Genomic DNA, 25,841 nt, shown 5'->3' with positions numbered 1-25,841 from the left:
GAGATAAGCGCGGCTCCTTGGAGCTTGTGTGCAAGTCACTGTACTGAGGAGCCGGCTACGGCTCGATGAGTCTCAATTAGGAAAGGCCGGGGCTGGTGGAGGAAGGGAGGAGAGCATTCTTCATCCTCATCACATCCTGAGCCTGTGCCCCAGGCTCCCACCACTTCCCTCCCTGGCCACAGAGCTCAGGACAGGGCTGAGGAACCATGTCTCCATCCCCGACCGCCCTCTTCTGTCTTGGTGAGTCCTGAGGGTCAGATCTGGGAAATGCTGAAGGACAGGCATGGACTGCCAGACAAAGGATTTTTAAGAAATTTGCATTGGTGATGAATTTCAGGACAAAAAGGAACCTGTAAGAGCCCCTTCATTTGTTGGGTGGGGAAACGGGGGGCCAGCGAGCTGGCATTTTGCATGAGTTATTCCAGTGTATTCATGGCTGGGTCAGGAAATGAACAGAGTATCCTAGCATTGGTCACAACTTTGTTCTACTACACTGCAGTTGCCCCTTTTTTAAAAAATGTGGGCCAGGCACAGTGGCTCACGCCTGTAATCTCAACCTTGGGAGGCCGAGGTGGGTGGATCACCTGAGGTCAGGAGTTCAAGACCAGCCTGGTCAACATGGTGAAACCCCATCTCTACAAAAATTAGCCGGGCGTGATGGCGGGTGCTTGTAATCCCAGCTACGTGGGAGGCTGAGGTGGGAGAATTGCTTGAAACTGGGAGGCAGAAGTTGCAGTGAGCTGAGGTCAGGCATTGCACTCCAGCCTGGGCAACAGAGAGAGCCTCCATCTCAAAAAAAAAAAAAAAAAAAAAAAAAAAGGCTGAGTGCCATGGCTTACACACTTTGGGAGGCCGAGGCGGGTGGGCCATCTGAGGTCGGGAGTTTGAGACCAGCCTGACCAACATGGAGAAACCCCATCTCTACTAAAAATACAAAATTAGCCGGGTGTGGTGGCACATGCCTGTAATCCCAGCTACTCTGGAGGCTAAGGCAGGAGAATCGCTTGAACCTGGGAGGTGGAGGTTGCGGTGAGCCAAGATCACACCATTGCACTCTGGCCTGGGCAACAAGAGCGAAACTCCGTCTCAAAAAAAAAAAAAAAAAAATTGTGGAATTGATATCTGGACTAGGTATGGATTTAATTTGTCAGTATCCCCTACAGTAGTGGAGTAAATAGTCTCCTGATGGATGGGTGGCAGGTCGAATGCATTTCTGCTGCCTGATCTTCACTTGTGCTGGGCATGTCGAATGCATTATTTCCTGATTTCTTCAGAATTTGACCACTAAAGGGACAGCATCTCCAAAAGGCTAAGCAGGAAGAAGATGGTTGCATTACTGGAGATGAGAGGGTTAACTGTGAATATAAACAACCTCTCATTCATTATCCATCCATGGATGTATTCTTTTTTTCTTTTTGTTTGTTTTTTGAGATGGAGTCTCGCTCAGTCGGTCGCTCAGGCTGGAATGCAATGGCATGATCTCAGCTCACTGCAAACTCTGCCTCCCGGGTCCAAGTGATTCTCCTGCCTCAGCCTCCCGAATAGTTGGGATTACAGGCATCTGCCACCAGGTCTGGCTAATTATTGTATTTTTAGTAGGGGCGGGGTTTCACCATGTTGGCCAGGCTGGTCTCAAGCTCCTTACTTCAGGTTCCACCCGCCTCGGCCTCCCAAAGTGCTGGGATTACAGGCGTGAGCCACCGCACCCAGCCTGTTTTAACTTTTATTTATTTAATTTTATTTGAGATAGGGCCTCACTTCTGTCACCCAGGCAGGAGGGCAGTGGCATGATCATGGCTCACTGCAGCCTCAACCTCCCAGGCTCAACCAGTGCCTCCCCATCAGCCTCCTGAGTATCTGGAACTACAGTTGTACACCATCATGCCTGGCTTGTTTTTGTAATTTTTTTAGTTACGGGGGTCCGCTATGTTGCCCAGGCTGGTCTTGAACTCCTGGGCTCAAGCGATCCACCCACCTCGGCCTCCCAAAGTGTTGGGGTTACAGGTGTGGCCTGTACAGGTTACTGCATCTGGCTTGTTGCTTCAGTAGCTTTTGGGATACAAGTGGTTCTTGGTTACATGGATGAATTATATTCTGGTGAATTCTGAGATTTTAGTGCACCTGTCACCTGACTAGTGTACCTTGTACCTAATGTGTAGTTTTTCATCCCTGCCCCACTTCTGCCCTTCCCTTCTGAGTCTCTGAAGTCCATTACATCACTCTGCATGCCTTTGCATACCCACAGCTTAGCTCTCACTTATAAGTGAGAATATACAGATTTTTGTTTTCCACTCCTGTATTACTTTACTTAGAATAATGCCTTCCAGCTCCATCCAAGTTGCTGCAAAAGACTTTTTTTTTTTTTTTTTAAAGACGGAATCTCGCTCTCTCACCAAGGCTGGAGTGCAGTGGTGTGATCTCGGCTTACTGCAAACTCCACCTCCCGGGTTTAAGTGATTCTCCTGCCTCAGCCTCCCGAGTAGCTGGGACTACAGGCACCCGCCACCATGCCCGGCTAATTTTTGTATTTTTAGTAGAGATGGGGTTTCACCATGTTGGGCAGGATGGTCTTGATCTCTTGACCTCGTGATCCACCCACCTCGGCCTCCCAGAGTGCTGGCATTACAGATGTGAGCCACTGTGCCTGGCCAAAAGACATTATTTCACTCCTTTTAATGGCTGAGTAGTATTCCACGCTCATTTATTTTTATTTATTTTTATTTTTTGACATGGAGTCTCACTCTGTTGCCCAGACTGGAGCGCAGTGGCATGACGTTGGCTCACTGCAACCTCCACCTCCCAGGTTCAAGCGATTCTCCTGCCTCAGCCTCCCAAGTAGCTGGGATTACAGGCTCCTGCCACTACGCCCCGCTAATTTTTGTATTTTTAGTAGAGACAGGGTTTCACCATGTTGGTCAGGCTGCTCTCGAACTCCTGACTTCAGGTGATCCGCCCACCTTGGCCTCCCAAAATGGGATTACAGGTGTGAGCCAGCGCGCCCGGCCGGTGAGAACATTTAAAATCTACTATCGGTGATATGCAAGTGTACAATATGTTGTTATTAACTACAGTCACCATGATGTGCAGTAGATCTCCAAGACATACTCCTCTTGTCCAACTGAAACTGTCCTCCTCTGACCAACATCTCCCCAAACCTTACCCCACCGCCCCGGTAACCACCACTGTGCTCTCTACTCCTGTAAGTTCCCAAGTCCACACTCTTTACCACTAATTGGTGCTGCTAGGGTTTGAATCTACTCCTGCCAGCTGTAGGACTGTGGATAAGATACTGTCTCACTAGCCTGATGTATAAGAGGGGACTGATAATGGTGGGTAACCCGTACGATTATGGCGACTTGGAGTCCATGCACAGAAGGCGCTCAGCACGGCGCCTGGAAGACTCCCAGCCATGGTACAGCGTCGCATGGAAACCTACAAAGAGGCTGAGGTGGGCTGTGATGCGGCAGGAGGAGGGGGACAGAGAAGCGGCCGGAGCTTGCGTTGGGGTGCAGAGGGAGCCTGGGGTGGACAAAGGGTGGTGGCTATGGGGGCGCTGGTGACAAGTTGTCACTCTCTGAGCTCAGAGTCAAGACATGAGCTGGGTTCACCCACTTCTTGCTATGTGAGCTACACAAGGTTGCTTGGCCTCTGCCCAGTTTCCTTATGTTTACAGTGGGAATGACAACTATCCCGCCTTTGTGTGTGTGTGTGTGTGTGTGTGTGTGTAAGAATGAGGGTTACCAGATAAAACACTGGATGCCTGGTTAAATTGGAATTTCAGATAATTAGTACTTTTTTTTTCCTCCTCCTCTTCGTTTTCTGAGACAGGGTCTTGCTCTGTTGTCAGTCTGGAGTGCAATGGGGCAATATCATTTTTTTTTTTCCTCGAGATGGAGTCTTGCTCTGTTGCCCAGGCTGGAGTGTAGTGGCGTGATCTTGGCTCACTGCAACCTCCGCCTCCCGGGTTCAAGTGATTCTCCTGACTCAGCCTCCCCAGTAGCTAGGATTACAGGCACGTGCCACCATGCCCAGCTAATTTCTGGTATTTTTAGTAGAGATGGTGTTTCACCATGTTGACCAGGCTGGTCTTGAACTCCTGACCTTGTGATCCGCCCACCCTGGCCTCCCAAAGTGCTGGGATTATAGGCATGAGCCACCGTGCCCGGCCAGTGGTGCAATCTTACCTCACAGCAGACTTGACCTCCTGGGCTCAAGCAATTCCAGGAGGGGATCGCTTATGTACATGTATTTGTATACATATGTATACACACACACACACACACACACACACATGCATACATATATACATATACATACATATACACGTGTGTATGTACACACGTGTATATGTACATACACATGTATGTATAGATGTAGGTTTACATATATGCACTATATGTGTATATACATATAGTAATCAGATCAGGGTAAGTAGCACACCCATCTTCTCAAACATGCATCCTTTCTGTGTTGGGAACTTTCCCCATCCTCCTTCAGGCTATTTGAAACGATTATTATATATATTATATCCTATCATGTAATCATGGAATACTGATTCAAGCAAATGTTGTAAATACCGGGAAACCCATGGCCAGCACATGCTGAGACGTCCTGACTTACACGCTGAGGCTCCATCCTGCTCCATCCTTGGAGCCCAATGCATCCCATTAGTGTGGGGTTTTATCGCATATATTACATAGACAATAAAATACAATAATATACAATATGCAATAGTATTTACAATACTTGTCTATACAATTGCATACTATTGTAATGTACTTGGATATTATTTAATATTGGGAGACTGAAGGGAGGAAACGAAGGGACAGCAATGTCTCAGGTCCCATTCCTCACATCCACTGAGGAAGTCAATGGGCAATGTCTAACACGAACGAGCCCACCGTGTCTAACACAACACAAACGAGCCCACCGTGTCTAACACAACACGAACGAGCCCACCGTGTCTAACACAACACGAACGAGCCCACCGCGTCTAACACGAACGAGCCCACCGCGTCTAACACGAACGAGCCCACCGTGTCTAACACAACACGAACGAGTCCACCGTGTCTAACACAACACGAACGAGCCCACCGTGTCTAACACAACACGAACGAGTCCACCGTGTCTAACACAACACGAACGAGTCCACCGTGTCTAACACGAACGAGTCCACCGTGTCTAACACGAACGAGTCCACCGTGTCTAACACGAACGAGTCCACCGTGTCTAACACAACACGAAGGAGTCCACCGCGTCTAACACGAACGAACCCACCGCGTCTAACACGAACGAACCCACCGTGTCTAACACGAACGAACCCACCGTGTCTAACACGAACGAGTCCACCGTGTCTAACACAACACGAACGAGTCCACCGTGTCTAACACAACACGAACGAGTCCACCGTGTCTAACACGAACGAGTCCACCGCGTCTAACACGAACGAGTCCACCGTGTCTAACACAACACGAACGAGTCCACCGTGTCTAACACGAACGAGCCCACCGTGTCTAACACGAACGAGCCCACCGTGTCTAACACGAACGAGTCCACCGTGTCTAACACGAACGAGCCCACCGTGTCTAACACGAACAAGTCCACAGAGAGCAGTACGCCACCATGCCTTGCCCTCCTCTCCCACCACCCCCAGCCATGGATCTGCTTTCTTCTCCATCTCCTATAGATTTACCTATTCTGGATATTTCATGTAAATGACCTCATAAACTATGTGGCTTTTTCTGACCGGTTTCTCTCACTTAAATTACATTCCTGTGTGTCTTTTGAAGAAATTATTAGGACAGAGTAAAGCATATGCATGCAAATGTCTTATCACCGCGCCCAGCAGGCAGGAATGTCCATAAAAGCGAGTCCTGGCATCTGGTCCCTTTCTTCTTTCCTCAGGGCTGTGTCTGGGGCGTGTGCCAGCGCAGAGTGGTGAGTCCTTCCCCAGACCCCTTCCCTCCTGCGGGATCCGCCAGCGCGGGAGCAGCGGGGTCCAGGCGGGGTCTGCGGGGAGGCTGACCCAGCCCTGCTCCTCTTCCAGGACCGCTCCCCAAGCCCTCCCTCCAGGCTCTGCCCAGCTCCCTGGTGCCCCTGGAGAAGCCAGTGACCCTCCGGTGCCAGGGACCTCCGGGCGTGGACCTGTACCGCCTGGAGAAGCTGAGTTCCAGCAGGTACCAGGATCAGGCAGTCCTCTTCATCCCGGCCATGAAGAGAAGTCTGGCTGGACGCTACCGCTGCTCCTACCAGAACGGAAGCCTCTGGTCCCTGCCCAGCGACCAGCTGGAGCTCGTTGCCACGGGTAAAGGAAGGGGGATCGGAGCCTGGGACTGCGTGGTCCTCCGTTCAGGACACAAATACGGGGGACATTGAGGGCAGGGATTAGGGTGAGGCAAACGAGGCACTGGCCTAGCGGGTGGTGGTGCCACGACATTTATGGATCAATGTGAATAATATTTTGTTTTTTGGACACAGGGTCTTGCTGCGTCACCCAGGGTGGAGAGCAGTGGCGCGATCTTGGCTCACTGCAGCCTCCACCTCCAGGGCTCAAGCGATTCTCCCGCCTCAGCCCTCCAAGTAGCTAGGATTACAGGTGTGCACCACCACGCCCAGCTCATTTTTTATGTTTTTATAGAGATGGGGTCTCTTGACAGTTTTCACAAAAGGCATTAAAATACAAAAGAGAGAGAGATAGGGTCTCGCTATGTTGCTCAGGCTGGTCTCGAACTCCTGTGGGCTCAAGCTATCCTTCCACCTTGGCTTCCCAAAGTGTTGGGATTTCAGGCGTGAGCCACTGCATCTGGCTGTGAATAACATTTTCATGCAATTTTTAAAAAAATCAAAATAAATTGCAAAAACATCCACAATGAAAAAAACCAGAATTTCAAATAAAGGCAGAATCAGCCAGTGCCTGTGTCAAGTCATACCAGAGTCTGTGCCAAAACGAAAAACAGGCAACCCTTTATCTGTGTTTTAATGCACTTAAAAAAATTAGCGATGGGGTCTTGCTACACTGCCCAGGCCGGAGTGCAGTGGCTGTTCATAGGAGCAGTCATAGCTCACTGCAGCCTGGAGCTCCTTGCCTTGAGCAATCCTCCTGCCTCAGCCTCATGAGTAGCAGGGACTACGGTCACGGGCCACCGTGCTTGGCTCGGGATTCTTTTTAAAACTTTGTTTTGGAGTAATTTTTAGACTGACAGAAAAGTTCCAAAGATAATATTAATGGAAATATTTCACCCAGGATCCCCTCATGTTAACATCTTACATTTGTTACAACCAAAAAATAAACGTAGCACTGGTCCCAGTGGTTTACACCTGTAATCCCAGCACTTTGGGAGGCTGAGGCGGGAGGATTGCTTGAGCTCAGGAGTTCAAGACCAGCCTGGGCAACATAGTGAGACCTCATCTTTAAACAAAATTAAAAATTAGTGGGGCATGGTGGCATACACCTATAGTCCCAGCTACTCAGGAGGCTGAGGCAGGAGGATCGCTTGAGCCAGGGAGGCCGAGGCTGCAGGGAGCTGTGATCACGCCACTGCACTCCAGCCTGGGTGACAGAGTGAGACCCTGTATCAAAAAACAAACAAAAAACTAACCATAGACACAACTATATTATATCAAGTAAACTCCAGGCTATTTGAATTTCACCAGTCTTTCCACTAATATCCTATTTCTGTTCCCAGACCCCGTCCAGGGCCCCACAGTGCATTTAGTATTTATGTCTCCTTAGACTCTTGATTGGTGCAAATATTCTAATTTCTTTTCTTATTTATTTATTTTTTTTAAGAGAAGAGGTTGGGCCGGGCGCGGCGGCTCACGCCTGTAATCCCAGTACTTTGGGAGGCTGAGGTGGGTGGATCACTTAAGGTCAGGAGTTTGAGACCAGCCTGGCCAACATGGTGAAACCCCGTCTCTACTAAAAAAAATAATAATAATTAGCTGGGCGCGGTGGCGCACTCCTGTAATCCCAGCTACTCCGGAGGCTGAGGCAGGAGAATCGCTTAAACCTGGGAGGCGGTGAGCCGAGATTGCACCACTGCAGTCCAGCCTGGGCGACAGAGCAAGACTCCGTCTTGGGAAAAAAAAAAAAAGAGAAGAGGTCTTACTATGTTGCCCAGGCTTTAGTACACTCGCTGTATTCACAGGCATGATCATAGCTCACTTTAGCCTCAAATCCCTGGGCTCAAGTGGTCCTCCCTAGTAGCTGGGACTATAGGTGCACCCAGTTAGTGCACTTTTAAATGGTTATTTTCTAGAAGTAGGTTTTGGAAATAGCACTGATGCGCTTGCATCCACAAAAGCCTAGAATGTAAAATTCTAATAAATCTTTCAGGGGAATAAAGTATTCAAACAGAATAATGTGAGTTTTAACGACCTACTCTTCAAATTTTCAATAATTTTTTCAAATATGTTAATTGTTTGGGAATAATTAAATTTTACATCCCAGGAGAGTGCCTCACTCACGCCACCCTAATTCCTGGCCAGCTGCACTGTGGTCTATTCCGCGTTATAAATCCTGCCTCCCTCCCCTCTTCCCTGCCTCACTCCCCTCCACAGCATCACTGGCCTCCTCTCTGCTACTAGAATGGACCAGCCTGGCTGCCTCATTACTTCTTTCAGGGTCAGACTCAAATACTCTCTTCTCGCTAAGTATATCCCCCACCACCCTAGTCAAAGTGGCCCTCCTCACTATCTGGTATGTGAAGTATACCTTTTTTTATCTTGGTGGTGGTTGTCTATTTTTAATTCCTGGTCGGGCACGGTGGCTCACGCCTGTAATGCCAGCACTTTGGGAGGCCGAGGTGGACGGATCACCTGAGGTCAGGAGTTCGAGATCAGCCTGGCTAACATGGTGAAACCCTGTCTCTACTAAACATACAAAATTAACTGGGCATGGTGGTGCATGCCTGTAGTCCCAGCTACTCGGGAGGCTGAGGCAGGAGAATCGCTTGAACCCAGGAGGTGGAGGTTGCAGTGAGCTGGGATCATGCCACTGCACTCCAGCCTGGGCAACAGAGTGAGATTCTGTTTCCCAAAAAAAAAAAAAAAAAAAAAAAAAAAAAAAATATATATATATATATATATATATATATATATATATATATATATATATATATATATATATGCCATTGCACTCCAGCCTGGGTGACAGAGCGAGACTCCGTCTCAAAACAAAACAAAACAAAACAAAACAAATGAAACAACAAAAAAAGAATACAGACAGACACATAATAGTTGCTTAAGTGAAAATTAAGAGAAAATATTGCTGAGTGAATGTTACAGTTATCAGGCAGCTTATATATTTCCTTCCTTCCTTCCTCCCTCCCTCCCTTCCTTCCTCTTTCTTTCTTTTTCTTCTTGTTGAGTGAATGCCATAATTATTAGGCAGCTTATATTTTTATCTTCCTTACTTCCTTTCTTTTGCTTTCTCTCTCTGTCTTTTTTTGAGACAAGGTCTCACTCTGTCACCCAGGCTAGTGTACAGTGATCATAGCTCACTGCAGCCTCGCCTTCCTGGGCTCAAGCGATCCTCCCACCTTGGCCTCCCAAAGTGCTGGGATGACCGGTGTGAGCCGCCGCACCCAGCCTCAACCTTTGTTTTTCTGACTCCTGTGTGCAGGCATGCATCACCACACCGGTCTATGACAACAACCTCACATCAGAGTAGTGTAGGTTCGTGTTTAGGAGCGGAGACCCTGGAATCAAACTCTGTGAGTGCAGATTTCAACTCTGCCACTTATGATCTTGGACAAGTTTTTTATTTATTTTTAAATTAAAATATGTCCAGCTTTGTTGAGGTATAATTGAAAAACAAAAATGGAATATATCCAAGGTGTACAAGTTGATGTTTTGATATACGAATCCACTGTGAGACAGTTACTACTAGCAAGCTAATTAACATACATCACCTGACACAGTTAACTTTTTTGTGTGTGAGAATACTTATAATCTACCCTCTTAGCAAATTTCAGCTGTACACTGCAGTATTGTTACCTAGAGTTGGACAAATTATTTAATGCCATGTGCCTTAGTTTCATTTATAAAATAGGGACATTAAGAGTGAGGACTCCATAGGTCTCTGAGGATTCACTGAACTGATATACATCATAAGTTTGGAAGGCACCCGGAAGCTAGCACTGTCAGCCACATTTACAACGTAACAATTGTATGTGGCAATACAAGCTTACAGCACAGTATAAGCTTAAGCTATTTACTTACTCCAGCGCTTGCTAGGCAACAGGCACTCTGCAAATTACTGTGTACTGTCTCATTCAGTCATCCCCATTTTAACAGAACAAGGCAGTGAGGCTCAGATACAGAGGGAGATTTGTCTCCAGGGCCACCAGGCCCCTGAAGGCAGAACTAGGATTTGCACCCAAGCACTAGGACGTGAGCACAGCCTCCTTCCTCAACCACTGGGTGACTCGACCTCTCTGTGAGCTTGGGTGGGGGAGTGCGCTCTCTGGGAGGGATACAGCCAAAAAGCTCCCCAGCTCTTAGGCAGGTGTGGGGACCTCCCCAGTCTCAGCTGAGATGCTGGCTCCTGCCTTCAACATCAGACTTTCTTTTTCTCCCAGGAGTTTTTGCCAAACCCTCGCTCTCAGCCCAGCCCGGCCCGGCGGTGTCGTCAGGAGGGGACGTAACCCTACAGTGTCAGACTCGGTATGGCTTTGACCAATTTGCTCTGTACAAGGAAGGGGACCCTGCGCCCTACAAGAATCCCGAGAGATGGTACAGGGCTAGTTTTCCCATCATCACGGTGACCGCCGCCCACAGCGGAACCTACCGATGCTACAGCTTCTCCAGCAGGGACCCATACCTGTGGTCAGCCCCCAGCGACCCCCTGGAGCTTGTGGTCACAGGTAGGGGTAGTGCAGACCAAACCTTTCTTCCTCAGCCTTTATAGGTCCTGATGGCCATTCCAAGGGAGGGGCCATAAGTGGGAAGGAAGTGGGAGGGCAGGAAGCCCTGGGCTGCAGGGGCGGGGCCGTAGGTGGGAAGGAAGTGGGAGGGCAGGAAGCCCTGGGCTGCAGGGGCGGGGCCGTAGGTGGGAAGGAAGTGGGAGGGCAGGAAGCCCTGGGCTGTAGGGGCGCGGCCATAGGTGGGAAAGAAGTGGGAGGGCAGGAAGCCCTGGGCTGCAGGGGCGGCGCCAGAGGTGGGAAGGAAGTGGGAGGGCAGGAAGCCCTGGGCTGCAGGGGCGGGGCCGTAGGTGGGAAGGAAGTGGGAGGGCAGGAAGCCCTGGGCTGCAGGGGCGGGGCCGTAGGTGGGAAGGAAGTGGGAGGGCAGGAAGCCCTGGGCTGCAGGGGCGGGGCCGTAGGTGGGAAGGAAGTGGGAGGGCAGGAAGCCCTGGGCTGCAGGGGCGGGGCCGTAGGTGGGAAGGAAGTGGGAGGGCAGGAAGCCCTGGGCTGCAGGGGCGGGGCCGTAGGTGGGAAGGAAGTGGGAGGGCAGGAAGCCCTGGGCTGCAGGGGCGGGGCCAGAGGTGGGAAGGAAGTGGGAGGGCAGGAAGCCCTGGGCTACAGGCAGCTGGGAGAATGGAGGTTTCTTTTTTTTTTTTTTGACGAAGTCTCACTCTGTCACCCAGGCTGGAGTGCAGTGGCGCGATCTCAGCTCACTGCAACCTCCGCCTTCCGGGTTCAAGCGATTCTGCTGCCTCAGCCTCTCGAGTAGCTGGAATTACAGGTGCCTGCCACCATGCCCGGCCAATTTTTGTATTTTTAGTAGAGACGGGGTTTCACTATGTTGGTCAGGCTGGTCTTGAACTGACCTCATGATCTGCCCGCCTCGGCCTCCCAAAGTGCTGGGATTACAGGCGTGAGCCACCGCGTCGGACTTGACTACCATTCTTAAAGGGGGTTTCTTTCAAAAAAGAGCAGCATACCTCATAATGTGGTTATATACATGCAATGGAATATTATGCAGCCTTAAAAAAGAAGGAAATTCTGACACATACTACAACATGGATATACCTTGAGGACATTATGCTAAGTCAGTCACAAAAGGACAACTACTGTATGATTCTAGTCAAAGGAGGTATCTAATGTCAACACTGTAGAAACACAAAGTACAATGGTGGTTGTTAAGGGCCAGAAAGAGGAGAGAGAAGGAATTAGTGTTTAATGGGCACAGAATTTCAGTTTTGCAAGAAAAATAAGTTCTAGAGGTCAACATATTGTACCACAATGTGAACATACCCAACGCCACTGATCAGTACATTTAACAATGTCATATTAAATCAAACAAAATACATCATTTAGTTTTTGGTAGAAAAATCTGTTTTGCCCCCAGGGTCACAGTGAGGGGTAGGACACAGGAATCCAGAAGAAATAGAACTGAGGTTGAAAAAGGTGGACGGGAGCTGCATGCATTTCCTTGTTAATAGCCCAGAATGTGCCAGGTGTGCTTTACAAATGCTGCTGCTTTTTTTTTTTTTTTTTTTTTTGGGGGGAGTCTCACTTTGTCACCCAGGCTGGAGTGCAGTGGAGTGATCTCAGTTCACTGCAACCTCCACCTCCTGGGTTTAAGCGATTCTCCTGCCTCAGCCTCCTGAGTAGATGGGATTACAGGCACCTGCCATCATGCCCAGCTAATTTTTGTATTTTTCGTAGAGACAGGGTTTCACCATGTTGGCCAGGCTGGTCTTGAACTCTTGACCTCAGGTGATCTGCCTGCCTCGGCCTCTCAAAGTGCTGGGATTACAGGTGTGAGCCACCACGCCTGGCTAAGCCTTTTTTTTTCAGATGGAGTCTTACTGCGTCACCCAGGCTGGAGTGCAGTGGTGCGATCTCAGATCACTGCAACCTCTGCCTCCTAGGTTCAAGTGATTCTCCTGCCTCAGCCTCCCGAGCAGCTGGGATTACAGGTGCACACCACCACGCCTGGCTAATTTTTGTATTTTTAGTGGAGACGGGGTTTCACCATACTGGCCAGGCTGGGCTTGAACTCCTGACCTCAAGTGATCTGCCCTCCTCAGCCTCCCAAAGTGCTGGGATTACAGGCATGAGGCACTGCACCCAGCTCAAATGCTTATTAACATCCACAACAGTCCAGTGATGTAAGCTACTTTAGGCTCATTTTTCCGGTGAGGAAACTCAGTCACGGAGATGTTTCGTTATTTGTTCAGGACCCACAGCGACAGAGCACAGATTTATCTCATTTTCTGATTTCCCAGGAACCTCTGTGACCCCCAGCCGGTTACCAACAGAACCACCTTCCCCGGTAGCAGGTAGGTTCTGCAGGGTCCATTCTGGTGCACAGCGTATGAGGTACACGGACCCCTTCTCTCTCTCCTCTCTGCCTAGACTTCTCGATTTAATTCAGTTGGTTCTTTCACAGATTTGCTTTGTTTTAAAAATCCTTTATTTCTGCCTGTAAACAGGGTGGGTGTCCTAAGTAGTTAGATGTTAAGATGCTGCCCCCAATCCTACTCTAGGTGGATGGTTTATCACATATAACATGCAGAAGAATAATCGGAGTGGCTTGCTATACTGTGGAGTCCAGCTGGTTGAATATGGGTGACAAAAACAAACAAACTAACCAACCAACCAACCAACCAACCAACCAACAAACCTGTAGAGTCCGGGACTCTGTTTCTGAGTCACTGAATGCATTGATCAGCGGTTCTCAAACTTCCATGAGCATAAGAATCACCTGGAGGCTTAAAGAATAGATTTCTGAGCCCCCAGGGCTTCTGCTTCAGTAGGTCTGGGGTGAATCCAGTCATTTTCATTCCTAGTAAGTTCCCAGGTGATGCTGATGCTATGGCTCCAGAATGCTGCTTTGAGAACCACTGCGGTAAGTTTTGTGTGAGGCGTGTTATCCCCTCCACTTTCACAAACATCTCAGCTGAATACGGTGTACCAGACTACGGCCTGCACTTTAAGAATATCATACGCTAGGCTGGAGGCTGGGCGTGTCTAACATTCCCTGTGTCTCAGAGTGAAGCACCAAGGCAGGAGAAACATGCTGGAAAGAGCCGAGGTTGATAAGGATGAGATTTGCGGGGTTGAGGGCAGAGTGAGGGCTATTATGCCTAGTGGGCAGGGACATGGAAGATGGTCACATACTGTGTGCGTGCATATGTGTGTGTGCGTGCATGTGCGTGTGTGCGTGCATATGTGTGTGTGCGTGCATATGTGTGTGCATGCGTGCATATGTGTGTGTGTGCATGCGTGCATATGTGTGCGTGTGCTTCTGACTGAATTTTTGAACTTTCTCTTTTGAAATGGTTCTAGAGTCACAGGAAGTCTACAATGATAGAACAGAAGAATCCCATGTGCTCTTTTTCCAGTTTCCTCTAATGGTTACATCTTACGTAATTAGAGTACAACATAAAAACCAGGAATTTGACATTGGCATAAAGTAGGTGTCTAGTTCTATGCCAATTTGTCACAGTTGTAGATTCGCGTCACCATCACCGCAGTCACTGTACAGAACTCTTCCGTCTCACAAGGGCCTCCCTTGGGCTACCCTTTTATATTCACACCTACACCCTTCTCCTTCCCTTGCCATCCCTAACTCCTGGTATCCATTAATTTGTTCTCCATCTCTATAATCTTCCATTTCTAGAATCTGATGTAAATGGGATCATCCAGTATGCAACCGTTTGAGATATCCTTTTGTCACTCAGTGCAATGCCCCTGAGGCCCATCCAAGCTGCTGTATGTATCAATGATGTGTTCCTTTTGATTGCTGAGCAATATTTCATGCTATATTAGGCCGATTTTGTGCTGCTATAAATATCTGAGACTGGATCATTGATAAGAAAAGAGGTTTAATTGGTTCATGGTTCTGAAGGCCGTATAGGAAGCAGAAGGCTGGCTTCTGCTTTTGGGGAGGCCTCAGGAAGCTTACAGTCATGGCAGAAGGCAAAGAGGGGGTAGCTGTCTCATGTGGTGGGAGCAGGAGCAAGAGAGAGAGAGAGTTGGGACTGGGGGACATGCCACACTTTGCAATAGCCAGATCTTGTGAGAATTCACTTACTATTGCAAGGAAAGCACCAAGCAATGAGGGATCCACCCCTATGATCCAAACACCTCCCACCAGGCCCCCACCTCCAACATTGGGGATCATAATCCAGTATGAGATTTGGTGGGAACACATATTCAAACTGTATCACATGGCATGCAAATACCACACGCTGTGTTGAAATCAAAATCAAAACAAGGTGTATTAAATAGGGAATCCTTTCCCCATTGCTTGTTTTTGTCAGGTTTGTTGAAGATCAGATGGTTGTAGATGTGTGGTCTTATTTCTGAGATCTCTATTCTGTTCCATTGGTCTATGTGTCTGTTTTTGTACCAGTACCATGCTGTTTTGGTTACTATCACCTTGTAATATAGTCTGAAGTCTGAGCCTGAGGCCTCCAGCTTTGTTCTTTTTGCTTAGTATTGTCTTGGCTATATGGGCCCTTTTTTGGTTCCATATGAATTTTATAGTTTTTTCTAATTGTGTGAGGAATGTCAATGATAGTTCAATGGGAATAGCAATGAATCTATAAATTACTTTGGGCAGTATGGCCATTTTCACGATATTGATTCATCCTATCCATGAGCATGGAATGTTTTTCCATTTGTTTGTGTCCGCTCTGATTTTCTTGAGCAGTGAATTGTAGTTCTCCTTGAAGATGTCCTTCACTTTCCTTGTTAGCTGTATTCCTAGGTATTTTATTCTCTTTGTAGCAATTGTGAATGGGAGTTCCTTCATGATTTGGCTCTCTGCCTGTCTATTGTTGGTGTATAGGAATGCTTGTGATTTTTGCACATTGATTTTGTATCCTGAGACTTTGCTGAAGTTGCTTATCAGCTTAAGAAACTTTTGGGCTGAGATGATGGGGTTTTCTAGATATAGGATCATGTCATCTGCAAACAGAGATAGTTTGATTTCCTCTCTTCCTATTTGAGTATCCTTTATTTCTTTCTCTTGCCTGATTATCCTGGCCAGAACTTCCAATACTATGTTGAATAGGAGTGGTGAAAGAGGGCATCCTTGTCTTGTGCTGGTTTTCAAGGGAAATGCCCATTTAGTATGAAATTGGCTGTGGGTTAATAAATGGTGCTGGGAGAATTGGCTAGCCATATGCAGAAAATAGAAACTGGACCCGTTCCTTACACCTTGTACAAAAATTAACTCAAGATGGATGAAAGACTTGGATGCAAAACCCGAAAACTATAAAAACCCTAGAAGAAAATCTAGGTAATACCATTCAGGACACAGGCATGGGCAAAGATTTCATGACAAAAACGTCAAAAGCAATTGTAACAAAAGCAAAAACTGACAAATGGGATCTAACTAAACTAAAGAGCTTCTGCTCAGCAAAAGAAAGTATCATCAGAGTGAACAGACAACCTACAGAATGGGAGAAAATGTTTGCAATCTATCAATTCACAAAAGTCTAATATCCAGAATCTACAAGGAAGTTAAACAAATTTACAAGAAAAAAAAAACCATTAAAAAGTGGGTAAAGGACATGAACAGTCACTTCTCAAAAGAAGACGTTTATGCAGCCAGTAAACATACAAAAAAAAGCTCAACATCACCAATCATTAGAGAAATGCAAATCAAAACCACATTTAGACACCATCTCACACCAGTCAAAATGGCGATTATTAAAAAGTCAAGAAACGCCGGGCACGGTGGCTCACGCCGGTAATCCCAGCACTTTGGGAGGCCGAGGCAGGCAGATCACAAGGTCAGGAGATCGAGACCATCCTGGCTAACACGGTGAAACCCCGTCTCTATTAAAAATACAAAAAATTAGCCGGGCGTGGTGGCGGGCGCCTGTAGTCCCAGCTATTCGGGAGGCTGAGGCAGGAGAATGGCGTGAACCCGGGAGGCGGAGGTTGCAGTGAGCCAAGATTGTGCCACTGCACTCCAGCCTGGGCGACAGAGCAAGACTCCATCTCAAAAAAAAAAAAAAAAAACCAACAAAAGTCAAGAAACAACAGGTGCTGGCGAGGCTGTGGAGAAATAGGAATGCTTTTACACTGTTGGGAATGTAAATTAGTTCATTGTGGAAGACAGTGTGGTGATTCCTCAAAGACCCAGAACCAGAAATCCTTTTTCCTTTTTTTTTTTTTTGAGATGTAGTATTGCTCAATAGCCCATGCTGGAGTGCAGTGGTGCGATCTCGGCTCACTGCAACCTCCACCTCCCAGGTTCAAGCAATTATCCTGTCTCAGCCTCCTAAGTAACTGGGACTACAGGCGCCTGCCACCATGCCTGGCTTTTTTTTTTTTTTTTCTTTTAGTAGAGATGGGGTTTTACCTTGTTGGTCATGCTGGTCTCAAACTTCTGACCTCAGGTGATCCACCTGCCTCGGCCTCCCAAAGTGCTGGGATTACAGGCGTGAGCCACCGCACCAGGGCCACCTTTTTTTTTTTTTTTTTTTTTTAAACAGAGTCTCACTCTGTCACCCAGGCTGGATTGCAGGGGCATGATCTCGGCTCACTGCAGCCTCTGCCTCCAGGGTTCAAGTGATTCTCCTGCCTCAGCCTCCCGAGTAGCTGGGACTGCAGGTGCATGCCACAACGCCTGGCTAATTTTTGGATTTTTGCTAGAGACGGGAGTTTCACCATGTTGGCCAGGGTGGTCTTGAGCTCCTGACCTCAGGTGATCTGCCCACCTCGGCCTCCCAAAGTGCTGGGATTACATGTGTGAGCCACTGCGCCTGGCCAGAAATACCATTTGACCCAGCAATCCCATTACTGGTTATATACCCAAAGGAATATAAATCATTGTATTATAAAGATACATGCACACATATGTTCATTGCAGCACTATTCACAATAGCAAAGACAAGGAATCAACCCAAATGCCCATCAATGATAGAAAGGATAAAGCAAATACAGTACATATACACCATGGAATACTATGCAGCCATAAAAAGGAATGAGATCATGTCCTTTGCAGGGACATGGATGGAGCTGGAAAACATTATCCTCAGCAAACTAACACAGGAACTGAAAACCAAACACTGCATGTTCTCACTTGTAAGTGGCAGCTGAACAATGAGATCACATGGACACAGGGAGGGGAACACCACACACTGGGGCCTGTAGGGGGAATTGGGGGAGGGAGAGGATCAGGATAAATAGCTGATGCGTGTGGGGCTTAATACCTAGGTGATGGGTTGATGGGTGCAGCAAACCACCATGGCACACGTTTACCTATGTAACAAACCTGCACGTCCTGCACATGGATTCTGGAACTGAAATTTTAATTGAAAAAAAAAAAAAAGGTTTATTAATGCATCTCACACGAAGAGAAATAACAAAGACCAAATAATACCCACACTCTCATTATGCCACCGAGAGCTGAGCATAAACTAGTTTTTTCCAAGCTGGTTCCACCATAAAAAGACTCCCAGGATAGTACCCACTGCAACAAGAGCTTCGTATTTATCAGCTGAGGCAGTTCAGGAATATTTTGGTGGCCTCAGGAGGCCCCTGGTTAAGAAAATGGCCTGGCCGGGCGCGGTGGCTCACGCCTGTATTCCCAGCACTTTGGGAGGCTGAGGCGGGTGGATCACAAGGTCAGGAGATCGAGACCATCCTGGCTAACACGGTGAAACCCCATCTCTACTGAAAATACAAAAAAATTAGCCAGGCGTGGTGGCGGGTGCCTGTAGTCCCAGCTACTCGGGAGGCTGAGGCAGGATAATGGTGTGAACCCGGGAGGCAGAGCTTGCAGTGAGCCGAGATTGCACCACTGCACTCCAGCCTGGACGACAGAGTAAGACTCTGTCTCAAAAAAAAAAAAAAAAAGAAAAAAAGAAAATGGCCTAAGTTGGAAGGTGGAGATCCCGTGTTCTGAGGCTAACACGAGCTCATTCTTCCTCTAGGCTCACGAAGACATGGATCCACATCTTATTATTCAAACTGAGATATAATTCACATACCATAAAATTCACCATGCCAACTAGGATGACTATGATTTTTAAAACAAAACAAACGGACAAGAAGTATTGGTGAGGATTTGGAAGAACCTTCTTATATTGCTGGTGGGAATATAAAATGGTGCAGCTGCTTTGAAAAACAGTCTGTGGCCAGGCGCAGCCTGTAATCCCAGCACTTTGAGAGGCCAAGGAGGGTGGATCACGAGGTCAGGAGATCGAGACCATCCTGGCCAACATGGTGAAACCCCGCCTCTACTAAAGTACAAAAAAAAAAGTTGGCCAGGCGTGATGGCAGGTGCCTGTAATCCCAGCTACTCGGGAGGCTGAGGGAGGAGAATCGCTTGAACCCAGGAGGTGGAGGTTGCAGTGAGCTGAGATCGCGCCACTGCACTCCAGCCTGGGCAACAGAATGAGACTCTGTCTCAAAAAAAAAAAAAAAAGAAAAAAAAGAAAGAAGTCTGGTAGTTCTTCAAAAAGTAAAACACAGAGTTACTGTATGACCCAGTGATTCCACCACCCCTGGGTGTGTACCCAAGAGAACAGAAAACTTATGTTCACACAAAAACCTGTACGTCAATGTTCACAGCAGCAATATTCATAACAGCAAAACGTGGAAAAAAAACCAAGTGTCTATCAATTGCTGAACGGATCTGCTTCTTACTAAGCCGGTCATGGAAGATAAGTCTTACACCTTTCGAATTTGTCTGTCTTCAGTGTCTGTGCAGTGTGTCAGAGAAAGGGGTTTCAGGGAGCCTAGATATCTCAAAAGGGGAATGGAGATATCTAGAGGATATAGGGAACCACGGGGAAGACCTAACATTGTTTTGCTTTCTTAGAATTCTCAGAAGCCACCGCTGAACTGACCGTCTCATTCACAAACGAAGTCTTCACAACTGGTGAGTAACCAGGCATTTCATGCTCAGCAGAAAGGAGTGTGAGGACGGAGCTCTCTCTTCCATTATCTAAGCCTGTAGGCTTTTAATCACTTCACCGAACTGTCCGTCTCTTACCAAGAAAGTCCTTGGTGTGAGGCTAGAGCATGGGTGCAGAGTGGAGCTCTGGGGTTCAGAAGGAGGAGCGTTTTGGGTGATGGGGCCATTTCAAAGATGGCGGAGCCAAGGCTGTGGCGGGACGACCGCCATCCCTACGCACTGCTCCCAGGATGAAGTCCTAGGCTTTGGACTCGGCTGTGATCCAGGTATTTAATCTCGCTCCTCACTGTGTCCAGGTAGAGCCCATGCTCGGACGCACACAGACTGTAGGCACCTGGACACAGCACATCTTCTAACCGCTCCAGGCCTCTGCAGATACGCTTTCCTCAGTCTCTTTCCCCTTGCCTGTCCTGGAAAATCTCCATTTCCTTCCAGACTAAACACCTTCACAGATTCCCTGATAATAGGTTAGATACTTCCACTGGGCCCACATGACTCTGGCTTTCATGAGGCACCTGATCCCACGTAGTTCTATTTTTTATTTTTTTGAGGTGGAGTCTTGCTCTGTCGCCCAGGCTGGAGTGCAGTGGTGCGATCTCGGCTCACTGTAACCTCTGCTGCCCGGGTTCAAGCGATTCTCCTGCCTCAGCCTCCCGAGTAGCTGGGATTATAGGTGCATGCCACCACACCTGGCTAATTTTTGTATTTTAGTAGAGACGGGGTTTCAGCATCTTGGGAAGGCTGGTCTTGAACTCCTGACCTCATGATCCACCTGTCTCGGCCTCCCAAAGTGCTGGGATTGGAGGCATGAGCCACCGCGCCCGGCATATCCCAGGGAGTTCTGTGATGGAAGCCTTCCCTATCTTCAGTTCGGAACCTCCCAATCACCCTCAGGATGCAGTTCCAATTCCTCAGCTTGCTATTCTGTGAGCTTAGATATCCAGCCCCTGTTGATCCCTCCAATTTTGTCTGCATACCTTCCACGCATTCCCATGCTGTTCTCAGCCACACACAGTCACTTGAAGCTCTCCTGGAGGCTTCCTAACCTCTCCTGACTCTGCACCCAACCCACTCACTCTGCCTTTTCTTCCATTTCCCCATGGCATCAATTCCTCAAGAAAGCCTTGACCGTCCAGGCTGGATCGATGGTTTCCTCTGCTCTCGCTCAGTGTCTTGTGGGCTGCCTATTACAGCAATTTTTACAGTATATTAAAATTATCGCTTTGTCTGTAATCCCAGCACTTTGGGAGGCCAAGGTGAGTGGATCACCTGAGGTCAGGAGACCAGCCTGGCCAACATGCTGAAACCCCGTCTCTACTGAAAATACAAAAATTAGCCGGGCGTGGTGGTGGGCACCTGTAATTCCAGCTACTTGGGAGGCTGAGGCAGGAGAATCGCTTGAACTCACGAGTTGGAGGTTGCAGTGACCTGAGATCACACCACAGCACTCCAGCCTGGGCAACAGAGTGAGACTCCGTATTAAAAAAAAAAAAAAATCGCTTTACTTTTTGGTCTCCTGCAATAGTCTGGGAACCGCAGATGGACAATGTCTTATGGTTTTTTTGTTTTTTGTTGTTGTTTTTGAGACGGAGTCTCACTCTGCTCACTCTGTGATCTGTGATTTCGGCTCACTCTGCGATCTCAGCTCACTGCAATCTCCGGCTCCTGAGTAGCTGGGACTACAGGTGTGTGCCACCATGCCCAGCTATTTTTTGTATTTTTAGTAAAGACGGGGTTTCACCATGTTGGCCAGGATGGTCTCGATCTCTTGACCTCAGGTGATCCGCCCACCTTGGCCTCCCAAAGTGCTGGGATTACAGGCATTCAGCCAGTGTCATGCCTGGCCTGACAATGTCTTATTAATATTTGGGTTCCCATGGCCCAGCACATGGCTGAGTACCTGGCGAGTCTCAGGAGATACTTGAGGAATAAGAGAGCTGGAGGCCGGGTGCAGTGGCTCACGCCTGTAATCCCAGCACTTTGGGAGGCCTAGGCGGGCGGATCACAAGGTCAGGAGTTCAAAACCAACCTGGCCAATATGGTGAAATCCCATCTCTACTAAAAATACAAAACTTAGCTGGGCGTGGTGGCGGACGCCTGTAGTCCCAGCTACTCGGGAGGCTGAGGCAGGAGAATCGCTTGAGCCCAGGAGGCGGAGGTTGAAGTGAGCCGACATCGGGCCACTGCACTCCAGCCTGGGAGACAGAGCCAGACTCTGTCTCAAAAAAAAAAAAAAAAAAGCTGGCACGTATGAGGTGCTCATATGTCAAGCACGGTGCTTTATATTTCTACCATTATTATTATCTTGACTTTCACATCAACCTATAAGGGATCTTGTTAATTTTATTGGACACATGGGGAACTGGCTCACAGATGCTGAGTCACTTGCCAGATAACTGACATCTAATAGGTGATAGAGTTGGGGTTCAAATCTGGAGGACAGCCTGACTCTACAGTTCTTGCTTTTTTTTTTTTGGACAGGGTCTCGCTCTGTTTCCCAGGCTAGAGTGCAGTGGTACAATCCTGGCTCACTGCAGCCTCAACCTCCCAGGGCTCAGGTGATCTTCCTGCCTCAGCCTCCACTGAGTAGCTGGGATTACTGGCACGTGCCACCACGCCTGGCTAATTTTTGTATTTTTTTGTAGAGATAGGGTTTTTCTATGTTGCTCAGGTTGGTCTTGAACTCCTGGACTCAAGCCAGCCTCCTACCTCAGCCTCCCAAAGTGCTGGGATTATAGGCATGAGGCACCGTGCCCGGCCCATGCTTTTCTTAAATGCTGTGGAATTGTGCCTCCCCATGTGTGTGTGTGTTCGGAGTAGGCACAGTGACAGGGGGCGGGAATATGGTTTCATTTCACACTTAGCCTTTGTTTGGTTCCCAGAGACTTCTAGGAGTATCACCGCCAGTCCAAAGGAGTCAGACTCTCCAGCTGGTGAGTAAGTCATCCTCTCCAGACCCCCTTCCTTCTCACCCGTCTCTTCACCAAAGCCAACTCCTTTGTCTACGCAGGGGCTGCAGCTCTCAGATCTTGGGTTCCAGTGTGTAGAGTAAAGGCAGAATATCAGCGTATGGGGTTCAGAATTGGGCATTAAGATCAGGTGGGAAGGTTGAGATTTTAAAAAGGGTCAGAGAAAGAGAGATTCCATCTCTTCCCCACCCCTTATAACTGTCCTCTCTTTTGCAATGCATCAGATAACGAGGCAGCATCTGTGTCTGGGGAGGAGTTGTCTCAGAGCCCTGTGAGAGCACAGGAGGGAGAGGTGCTACTTAGAGAATTGGGGTCATCTGGCCCTGACCCCTACTCGGGAAGGGAGGGACCCTCCAGGAAAGTGAGCGGCATCCCCTAGCTAGTAGAGAATAATAGGATCTCTGAGAAGCCCAGATGTGGCTTGGAGGGGGTCCTGGAGGTGGGCTCTTTCACCTGCTCCTGCCTCTCCTCATTCCTCCAGGTCCTGCCCGCCAGTACTACACCAAGGGCAACCTGGTCCGGATATGCCTCGGGGCTGTGATCCTAATAATCCTGGCGGGGTTTCTGGCAGAGGACTGGCACAGCCGGAGGAAGCGCCTGCGGCACAGGGGCAGGGCTGTGCAGAGGCCGCTTCCGCCCCTCCCGCCCCTCCCGCTGACCCGGAAATCAAACGGGGGTCAGGATGGAGGCCGACAGGATGTTCACAGCCGCGGGTTATGTTCATGACCGCTGAACCCCAGGCACGGTCGTATCCAAGGGAGGGATCATGGCATGGGAGGCGACTCAAAGACTGGCGTGTGTGGAGCGTGGAAGCAGGAGGGCAGAGGCTACAGCTGTGGAAACGAGGCCATGCTGCCTCCTCCTGGTGTTCCATCAGGGAGCCGTTCGGCCAGTGTCTGTCTGTCTGTCTGCCTCTCTGTCTGAGGGCACCCTCCATTTGGGATGGAAGGAATCTGTGGAGACCCCATCCTCCTCCCTGCACACTGTGGATGACATGGTACCCTGGCTGGACCACATACTGGCCTCTTTCTTCAACCTCTCTAATATGGGCTCCAGACGGATCTCTAAGGTTCCCAGCTCTCAGGGTTGACTCTGTTCCATCCTCTGTGCAAAATCCTCCCGTGCTTCCCTTTGGCCCTCTGTGCTCTTGTCTGGTTTTCCCCAGAAACTCTCACCCTCACTCCATCTCCCACTGCGGTCTAACAAATCTCCTTTCGTCTCTCAGAACGGGTCTTGCAGGCAGTTTGGGTATGTCATTCATTTTCCTTAGTGTAAAACTAGCACGTTGCCCGCTTCCCTTCACATTAGAAAACAAGATCAGCCTGTGCAACATGGTGAAACCTCATCTCTACCAACAAAACAAAAAAACACAAAAATTAGCCAGGTGTGGTGGTGCATCCCTATACTCCCAGCAACTCAGGGGGCTGAGGTGGGAGAATGGCTTGAGCCTGGGAGGCAGAGGTTGCAGTGAGCTGAGATCACACCACTGCACTCTAGCTCGGGTGACGAAGCCTGACTTTGTCTCAAAAAATACAGGGATGAATATGTCAATTACCCTGATTTGATCATAGCACGTTGTATACATGTACTGCAATATTGCTGTCCACCCCATAAATATGTACAATTCTGTATACATTTTTAAAATCATAAAAATAAGATAATGCACCGTCTCCACCCCTCTCATATTTACTTTCTGAAGGAAATGTTAGGTCTTCTCAAGGTAAAGTTCTATATTTATTATAGCGTTTAGGCATTTCTTGACCATCTAATGAGTGTAAAACTGTACCACTGGGCCAAGTGCAGTGGATCATGTCTGTAATCCTAGCACTGTGGGAGGCCAAGGCAGGAGGATCGCTTGAGCCCAGGAGTTCAAGACCAGCCTGGGCAACATAGTGAGACCCCATCTCTACTTAAAATAAAGAAGATAAAAATTGTTTTAAAAAAGGAAAAGAATGGCTGGCCACAGTGGCTCACGCCTGTAATCCCGGCACTTTGGGAGGTTGAGGTAGGTGAGTCACTTGGGAAAAGACAGAAGGATGGCACCAAGAAGTTCCAGGACGACGGCTGTGAATCAGGGCTAGTGAGCACACAGCTTGGGTGAAGGGGGAATGGGAAAGTTGCTTAGAGAAGCCTCCAAATGTAAGAATGGGTCAATTCCTCGTCTTAACATAGTGGAAAATCATACTGAGATGCTATCAGAAGACAGAGGAAAAATAATTTTAGAGGTCAAGTAAACTAAGTAGATTTTAAAAAGACCAGTATAGCCTAGGCACAGTGGCTCACACCTGTAATCCCAGCACTTTGGGAGGCTGAGGCGGGATCGCTTGAGCCTAAGAGTTCGAGACCAGCCTGGGCAACATGGTGAAACCTTGTCTCATATACAAAAAATATAAAAAATTAGCTGGGTGTGGTACCACATGCCTACTCTCAGGTACTCAGGAGGCTGAGGTTGGGGATCACCTGAGCCCGGGGAGGTTGAGGCTGCAGTGAGCCATGATTGCACCACTGCTGTCAAACCTGGGTGACAGAGTGAGACCCTGCCTCAAAAGAAAATAAAAATAAAAAACAAATATAAACTTTAGGGGAACAATAACAACAACAAAAATAAAAGAAGCAAGTTATATTACCCGAAAATTCTCGGCTGCGAATATCTGTGGGTATAAACATGTGATACTGGCCGGGCGTGGTGGCTCATGCCTGTAATCCCAGCACTTCGGGAGGCTGAGGTGGGCAGATCACGAGGTCAGGAGATCGAGACCAGCTCAGCCAACATGGTGAAACCCTGTCTCTACTAAAAATACAAAAATTAGCCAGTCGTGGTGGCACACGCCTGTAGTCCCAGCTACTCAGGAGACTGAGGCTGCAGTGAGCTGAGATTGCGCCACTGCACTCCAGCCTGGGTGACAGAGTGAGACTCTGTCTCAAAAAAAAAAAATGTGATACTGAATGTTGATATGCAGACATAGAGATAAACATTGGAAGAGAAAAAACAGTAAGAACAACGCTGTAGAATAACTAAGGCCCCGCCTATTATGATAGGAATCC

General features: G+C 48.3%; 1 protein-coding gene and 1 long non-coding RNA gene across 5 annotated transcripts in view, besides 4 other annotated features; one reads left to right on the top strand and one right to left on the bottom strand.

Annotated features, from left to right (window-relative positions):
* GP6-AS1 (GP6 antisense RNA 1) overlaps positions 1–25,841 on the bottom strand; it is a 38,091-nt gene that overhangs the window by 5,875 nt on the left and 6,375 nt on the right. The gene's annotated exons all lie outside the window — the stretch shown is intronic.
* Positions 179–24,738, top strand: GP6 (glycoprotein VI platelet). Of its 3 annotated transcripts, none has more exons than NM_016363.5 (8): positions 179–240; positions 5,905–5,937; positions 6,047–6,304; positions 10,581–10,865; positions 13,172–13,225; positions 19,732–19,791; positions 22,710–22,760; positions 23,278–24,738. In NM_016363.5, exons 1-8 carry the CDS (start codon positions 207–209, stop codon positions 23,520–23,522), a joined length of 1,020 nt encoding a protein of 339 aa, NP_057447.5. In that variant the 5' UTR covers positions 179–206; the 3' UTR covers positions 23,523–24,738. The 3 variants fall into 3 exon arrangements, with proteins under 3 accessions (NP_057447.5, NP_001077368.2, NP_001242946.2); NM_001083899.2 differs by having other exon boundaries at positions 22,710–22,764; NM_001256017.2 differs by lacking the exon at positions 13,172–13,225.
* Positions 10,122–10,826: an enhancer, noted in NCBI's record as "H3K4me1 hESC enhancer chr19:55538985-55539689 (GRCh37/hg19 assembly coordinates)". NCBI's record gives its function as "activates a minimal SCP1, AML or CMV promoter by ChIP-STARR-seq in naive and primed H9 embryonic stem cells {active_cell/tissue: H9 hESC(naive and primed)}" and the evidence as "EXISTENCE:reporter gene assay evidence [ECO:0000049][PMID:30033119]".
* Positions 21,420–21,920: an enhancer, noted in NCBI's record as "H3K4me1 hESC enhancer chr19:55527891-55528391 (GRCh37/hg19 assembly coordinates)". NCBI's record gives its function as "activates a minimal SCP1, AML or CMV promoter by ChIP-STARR-seq in naive H9 embryonic stem cells {active_cell/tissue: H9 hESC(naive)}" and the evidence as "EXISTENCE:reporter gene assay evidence [ECO:0000049][PMID:30033119]".
* Positions 21,921–22,421: an enhancer, noted in NCBI's record as "H3K4me1 hESC enhancer chr19:55527390-55527890 (GRCh37/hg19 assembly coordinates)". NCBI's record gives its function as "activates a minimal SCP1, AML or CMV promoter by ChIP-STARR-seq in naive H9 embryonic stem cells {active_cell/tissue: H9 hESC(naive)}" and the evidence as "EXISTENCE:reporter gene assay evidence [ECO:0000049][PMID:30033119]".
* Positions 22,901–23,465: an enhancer, noted in NCBI's record as "H3K4me1 hESC enhancer chr19:55526346-55526910 (GRCh37/hg19 assembly coordinates)". NCBI's record gives its function as "activates a minimal SCP1, AML or CMV promoter by ChIP-STARR-seq in naive H9 embryonic stem cells {active_cell/tissue: H9 hESC(naive)}" and the evidence as "EXISTENCE:reporter gene assay evidence [ECO:0000049][PMID:30033119]".

The sequence above is a fragment of the Homo sapiens genome, chromosome 19 (assembly GCF_000001405.40).
Source record: "Homo sapiens chromosome 19, GRCh38.p14 Primary Assembly".
Lineage (NCBI taxonomy): Eukaryota > Metazoa > Chordata > Mammalia > Primates > Hominidae > Homo > Homo sapiens.
Note: the sequence above shows the minus strand (reverse complement) of the source record. Positions and strands in the feature narration are given on the sequence as shown.

What these genes read in the sequence shown, in the direction of transcription:
- GP6 (NM_001083899.2), top strand. Translation starts at nt 207, where the DNA reads ATGTCTCCATCCCCGACCGCCCTCTTCTGTCTTG. An exon ending in GACCGCCCTCTTCTGTCTTG is followed by an intron (nt 241 to 5,904) that starts GTGAGTCCTGAG and finishes TTCTTTCCTCAG; the next exon opens with GGCTGTGTCTGGGGCGTGTG. An exon ending in AAACGAAGTCTTCACAACTG is followed by an intron (nt 19,792 to 22,709) that starts GTGAGTAACCAG and finishes TTTGGTTCCCAG; the next exon opens with AGACTTCTAGGAGTATCACC.